At 32.2% G+C, this 7,115-nt stretch overlaps 1 annotated feature.

The window, feature by feature from the left end:
• Positions 337 to 1,146: an enhancer, noted in NCBI's record as "VISTA enhancer hs682". NCBI's record gives its function as "enhancer in: eye[5/8]" and the evidence as "EXISTENCE:transgenic organism evidence [ECO:0001131][PMID:17130149]".

The raw sequence follows: 7,115 nt of genomic DNA, 5'->3' as shown, positions 1-7,115 counted from the left end.
CTCTCTACAAATAGAAGAATTATGGTTGATTAACTTGTTTTTCTGTAAAAGTTTCAAGAATTTTTGTAGGTGATAATGGCCCAAAATGTTTTAGTGATTTGTAAATATAAGTATTTCTTAACTGCATTTTCCCTTCATAATTTTTTGAAAGTCTGATATCTTTACTTCATTAGGACTTCTCTTTTGTATTCACAAAAGCCAGCTACTTCAAATAAAAAAAGCATTATTGATCAAACTCATTGAGCATTAGTTACAGCTATCCCAGCGCAGTTTGCTTTTCCAAACAGAATCTCAAGAAATTATTGAGTAATCAAAGTTAAATTCTAAATGTTTACATCACTGTTCTGCTGAAAGAAATAAGAATAATGAAGTGTTGTTATTTTTTAAATGTTTCCACATGGGATAGTGAGGTTGTTCCCCTGGAATGTAAGCTTTTACTACACCAGAATCAGAAATCTTCAGGCCCTTGGGCTCACCCTCTGCTGCAGAGGAATGATGAACTACACAAAATGCAGACTTTTAAACTCATATTTAATTGTTTAATGTCATGGCTCTTGGTAGAGCATTGTTGCTTGAAAAATAAATTGGGTAATTCAATTAAATGGCTACAGAAGATACATCATATCAGATGTAGAAAGGCACTAACCCGAGCTTGAACTTGACGTCCCACATCGCTTCACTTATTTGACAAATGGATTCTTGAAAATAATTGAAACACATGACTGCCAGCATAGGTCAATAATACTTTTTTGCCATTCAGCCTCTTAACAGCTTCCATTTTTTCTTGCACTGTGCCATTCAGGGCAAAGATTGCATTTGCCTGGTAAATCATGCAAGCATTATTACTAAAATGGGACTAAATGCAATGAAAATGGACTACATAAAAGTAATGGCACTTAAGTAAAAGGAAGACCATCTACTAGGGCAAACACTAAATGTCAGAGTTAAATACTATATGACATTACTTCCATTACAAGCTCATATTATGCACATAAGAAAGCAAACTCACTAACTACAGCTGCATACTACATTTTCATATTGTTAACTTAACCAATGTTTTCAAGACACTACTGTTAATCCAGATTTAAAGCAGAACTACATATCTGCTGTTTCAAGTTTTCTCTCCCATATCTCCTTGGGCAGAACAGATACACTTAGGCAAAAACAGAATCACTGCCTAAATCTTCAAAGGACCATCATTAACAGATTTAAAGACTAATAGTTATTCTCTTGGAAAACACTAAGGAAAGAAAAAATTACAAACAGCAAAGAAACTTAAAAGCATTGTCCAGTTAAAAAGGTTTTGAAAGAAAAAAAAGAAAATGTGTTTTAACCTATGTTACATGAATTAGGAAGTATAGGAAGTATATTGAAAAAAAAATATTGGTTATTTCTTGAATCTCAATTTGATTGTATTAATATATTCTAAATGGTTAAGAGGGAACTAGTAGATAGAGCAAAATCTGAAGATCCAAACAGAAACTGATCTTTTCTTGTTTTTCATTTGTAAACAGAGACTGCCAATTTCTTAATGTTTTTGGTTTGGTGTGGTGAGGTTTTTGATAATAAAAAAGAAAAGATGTCCTAGTTTTGTGATGTTCAAGCTTTCAACAGTTATTTCACAATTAGGCAATACTGCTTAGAGATAAGAATGCAATCAAAATGCCTGGGATTGACTCCTGCCTTCTGCCATCAGCAAGTTACTTAACCTCTTTATGCCTCAGTTTTCACATCTGTAAAATGAAGATAAAGATAGTTTCTACCCTCATAAGTTTCTTAAGAGGATTAATTTTAAAAGGGCTTAATGGAGTGCCTAACAATAAAGGCTCACTAAATGTCTGCAGGCACTGTAAATAAAAAAGTCTGAATCAATCATAAGGTATTTTTTAGAAGGAGACATTCTGAAATGAGTACATATGCATTTTGACACTGGGAGTCCCACTTAAATGTTCTCATCTCATTTTTGATTTTTGACCCTTTCTGGACCATAAAGCTCTTTCAGCTTTCAATTCATTGATCAAAATGTCTTTCCATAAAGAAAGAAACTTTTAAAATAATTCCTTAAAGTTATACTGCAACCTTCAGCATCCATTGATCTGAAACTTCAAATGAACCCGTTTACCTTCCTTTAGGGGTTAATTGACCCACTTCAGATTTCCAAAGTTTATTAGACAACTCTTTTCTCCAATCAAGGTAAGTAATAGAAAAGCAACTACTTAGACTTCTTAAAGAATGTGATTATTGCTTACAAGGCTCTCCATTTTTTAGCAAGTCTTCATTTCTTATTATCTTTCCCATTCAGGCAGTGACACTTCCTTTTCCCCAAATCCCCAATTATTCAGCTCCAGTAGAGCCACTCCTTGAGTCCACATGTCTATTTCTGGGGAAGAGAGGGTTGATGGGAAAGGCTTCACCTGGCTCTACTCTAGTTCTGCTGTTTTATGTTTCACAAGATTTTGTGTATTAAATAAAATAATTCAGTCAAGAAAAATTTACTAGATCTGTGAAAGTGAGTTTCAAAACTTTAGGTTTGTCTTGGGCTTTCAGTGAGCTAAAGCTTTGTTAAAAAATGATGTTCAAAACCCCAAAACACTAGAGTAGATAAAAAAACAGAGTAATCTTTGTTGTCAGAACTGTTCTTCAAGCAATACAAAGAAAAAAGAGGTAAAAATAGCTAAATCTGCAGAAAGAAAGGATAAATCACAGATGAGACACAATTGCAAGTTTTAAGCATCAGGATAATATTCTTAATGTATTATGAAGTCCAATAAAAACAACAGATTAACGGATTCATATCTACTATTCAAGTGTTTAATGAAATTAGTTATTAAAATAACAGAATTTTTTGTCTTCATACATAAAATGTAGTAATTTAAGAATTGTTAGCCTTGCATTGAAATATTGCTTTTTCCTCTGCTATTCACTGCATACTATGATGTAATATTATTTTACATATTCTTTTTTCAAAATATTCATTCCTCAAATATAAAAACCAAGGACCAAAAAGCAAGAACATTTTTACGCATACTCACAGAAATAAATGTATTTCATTTAATTACAAAGTGACACTCATATAAAAAATAGATCATGTGTATTAAAAAATACAATTTTTTCTTTACAAAAGAAATATTCTAAAGGGAAAATATGCTGGCCCAGGAGCTTGATTTAGGCTGGGTATTTCAAAATTCTCGAGGCTTACTTTTCTCAATTAAGGATTATGGAAGCAATCCTGGTAAGCCTAAAGGGTTTTGAATTGTGCTTGTAGAACATTAAGCAAACATGGGTATCTCCAGATTCACAAAGCTCCAATAAAACCATGTGTATATAATTAGATCAATCAACAGGAACCATTATGAGATATATGTCAGAGGAAGTCTCATAACAAGCAGCCATATAGAAAGAATTAACTCTATCCACCTAAGGCCTTATCCACTCAATACACAGACATCACATAAATTTATAATGGTATTAAATCTATTAATGGTATGAGGAATAAATATTTATTAAATCAGGCAAAGTACATTTTAGTGTACTTTAAATTAATAATTGACAAAAGCAATGAATTTTTTCACCAAATAAATAAGGTGTTTTCTAATGTACTCTTTCTTTTCTGAACACAATACCAAATACTACTACTGTAACTTGGAAAAGCAGACAAAGCAAGAGGATGAGTGGCATGGAAATAAGCTTTTATCTTAAAATTAGACGAAATGAAAGAAAAAAATAAAAGGCTAACCGCATTCACAAGCCAACAGCTCCTAACGCTGCTCTAAATTTTCCTTTGACTCTTATGGCTGATACAGCCCAGGATATAATTAAACAATTGCAATAATGCTTTGTATAATTGACTCCAAAGCGTTACAGCATTTGTGAGTTTTTATGTGAATACGTTTCAGAGTAAACATAGTACTTTATAGTAGGAAAGACGCACCTTGAATAGATTTGACTCTAAATCGTAGAGTTCAGTGATTTATGTATACACCTGCATTAGTTTGCTAGGGCTGCCATAACAAATACCTTAGACTGAGTGGCTTTAGAAAATTATTTTCTCACAGTTTTAGGAGATAAAAATCCAACATCAAGGGTTCTGAGGTTTGGTTTCTTCTGAGGCTTCTCCTTGGCTTGCAGATGGCTGCTTTCATTCTACATCCCCAAATGGCCTTTCCTCTGGGTGCGTACACTGTATACTAAATATCCTCTTCTTAAAATACACCAGTCATAGTGAATTAAGGCCCACTGACATGCCCTATTTTTAGCTTAATTTAAGGAGACTATCTCCAAATATAATCACATTACAAGGTCCTAGGGGTTAGGAATTCAACATACGAATTTTGTTGGCACACAGCTTAATCTGTAATAACAAAACCTTTAACATATTATTATTTTGTAAATGACATTTCTAATTTCAGTCCCGTTAAAACTATTTGTACTAATTATTGTGCTCAATCTTACACATCTCTAACATAGTGGCTTTCAGACCATAGCATTTATCAGAATGGCCTAGAGGGCTTGTTAAACCACAGATTCCTGGGCCCCACCCCCAGAGTTTCTGATCCTTTGGGTCTGAGATGGGGCCTGAAAATTTGCATTCTGACAAGTTCCCACGTGATGCTGATACTACTGGTCAGGGAACTATACTCTGAGAACCAGTGATCTAGTACAAAATTTCCAAGACAGAATTTTCGTGACAGTGTTTCATGAAATGTTGGCATGGATTCTTATAGAAAAGCAATTAGTAGTCAAATTATTCTGGATTGTGCTACATATACTAGTATCCTCTTAGAGATTTTAACATATTGAAATACTAATAACAGACATATTTAACACATTAAAATTTCCAAGGATTCTTGCAATAAGAGAAAAATTAGTTAACTGAGTTTCTACACTTACCTGACTATGTAACTCAGTTTTTCAAGTAACAGCTTTTAACATATCATGCGTATCTTTGGAAACATTGGTTTAACATCTTAAATTGTCTCACTTCAAACCAACATTTTCCAAACTGTTTCATGGAGGGCGAATAGGTATTTCATGCAAGCATTAATATTATATGTGTTTCAAAGAAGAAGAAAGGTCATCCATAATTTGGGAAATTCTTCAGTAGCAATGTTTTACTTTATTTAATTCTGAATTGTAAAAACTTGCAGGGATAAGAACTTTTGTAATTCACATTCTACGTTTCATGAAACACTAGCAGCGCCCTGAAACTGAGATTTATGATCAATATATTGAATTATGACTAACAAAATTTCCAATTTAGATATTTTACCTTAGTCCATAATTAATCCTACACACAGTGTCTTTTAAGACTAGAAATATAAACACATATATGTACATGTAAACATACACACATATGTACACACGATAGCCCATCTACCATTATCCCTAATTTGTGTTTGAGTCCCACAGATTTGTAATCAGTAAATGAAAAATGTAGATGATCAGTGTAGATAGGAACAGTTCTAGTGTTGCCATATGAGAAAGATATAGGAAATGCATTCAACAATTGATTACATATCAAACACAGGCCATTTTGGTTAAAATATTTTCACAAATTAGAAGGATGTGTTCTTACGGTCATTTTTCTACACAGATAAACACTATTTCTCAAATACTAAATTAGAGGTGATTAAAGGAAAAATAGAACTAATATTCATTGAGCAATGATTATGTTTTAGGAAATATGTCAGTTATTTTACATTCTTTACCTTAATTGGCACCGTCATTAACCTTGAATATGGGCATTATCATTTCCATTTGATGGAGGAAAAAATTAAAGTTCATGAATGCAACTTAGTTGCAGTAAGATAAAGGGATGATAAAGACACTGCCCCTGACATCAATGCATTCAAAATCTTGTGAAACAAGATTTGAAAAAATAACATATGAAAAATTATATACATGATTCAAGCCGTGAGAAGGGGCTCATGAAGATATTTTTTTAAAGTGGTGTGAATCTCCTACCAAAAATCAAAGAAGACTATTAAGTGGGTATGGAAGCACTGAGGTTTAGTGGCTAAGAGACACGTTTCATGGGTTCAAATCTCTGCTCTGCTGTTAACCAGTTTTGTCATCTTAATCACGTTACTCAAACTCTTCAAACATGTCTTTCTTCATTTATTATATGTAGATCATAATTGTATGTACTCCATAAAGTAAGTGTAAAGATTTAATAAGTTAATATAGAAGGCATGACTCATATTGATTACCAAAGAAGCTTATTATTATATTTTATCAAGAATATGAGATCTAAATGAAAACATAATAGTAGCATTATTTTATAGTTTATATAAAATGCAGACTTTAAGAATAAATGAAATTAATTATGACAATACCAATAATTCTACTGAAATGTGAAATATATATATAAAATAAATGGTGAATCATGATCATGAATTGATTCATTAGAAAACATATCTGAGTATTTTTAGGTAAAATTTAGCTAGAATTTTAAACCCATTTTCTCCATGTTTAGACATTTCTCAAGAAGAGTTTATTTTTAAAAGCAATGTTACTATTAAAAAGACTAAAGGTTATTTATTAATCAAGAGAGGAGACCATTACAACAATTCTTTGAAGATAACTAACAATCTATTTTTTTAAAAAATAGAGTAACCTAATAAAGGAGGACAATAAAACCTCATTCTTCACTTAATCATTACAGATTTTCTACTGTGTTGAAAGCCCACACTATGGGGACCATAGATGCGACAGATCAGAAGATGAATAATTCCTTCCATCTATAATCTTATGCTTCGTAGTAGGGAATGAACAATCAATTAATGAAGAGCTATAATGTTAGATTCCAAAAGAAAGTGGTGAATTTTATTTTCCTTAAAACAAGAAAAAGGTAAAAAAAAAAATTTAAAAAAAAACAGTCAACTTAGAGTTGGGCTTTGAGACAGAGAAAGATGGGAGGAGAGAGAATTGCACATAAAAGGATCACCATAGGCAATTGCACAGACAAAAGAAATCACAGAGGAAAGTGTTGCTTAGAGGGAAAAATATTGTTTAACTAGAAAATAGAATTATCTAAACATGTTACAGGAAACTGTTTTGAATATACTTCATGTCAATTTGGGCAACTCTAAACACAGCAGTTACATGCCAAAAAC

The sequence above is a fragment of the Homo sapiens genome, chromosome 5 (assembly GCF_000001405.40).
Source record: "Homo sapiens chromosome 5, GRCh38.p14 Primary Assembly".
Taxonomy (NCBI): domain Eukaryota; kingdom Metazoa; phylum Chordata; class Mammalia; order Primates; family Hominidae; genus Homo; species Homo sapiens.
Note: the sequence above shows the minus strand (reverse complement) of the source record. Positions and strands in the feature narration are given on the sequence as shown.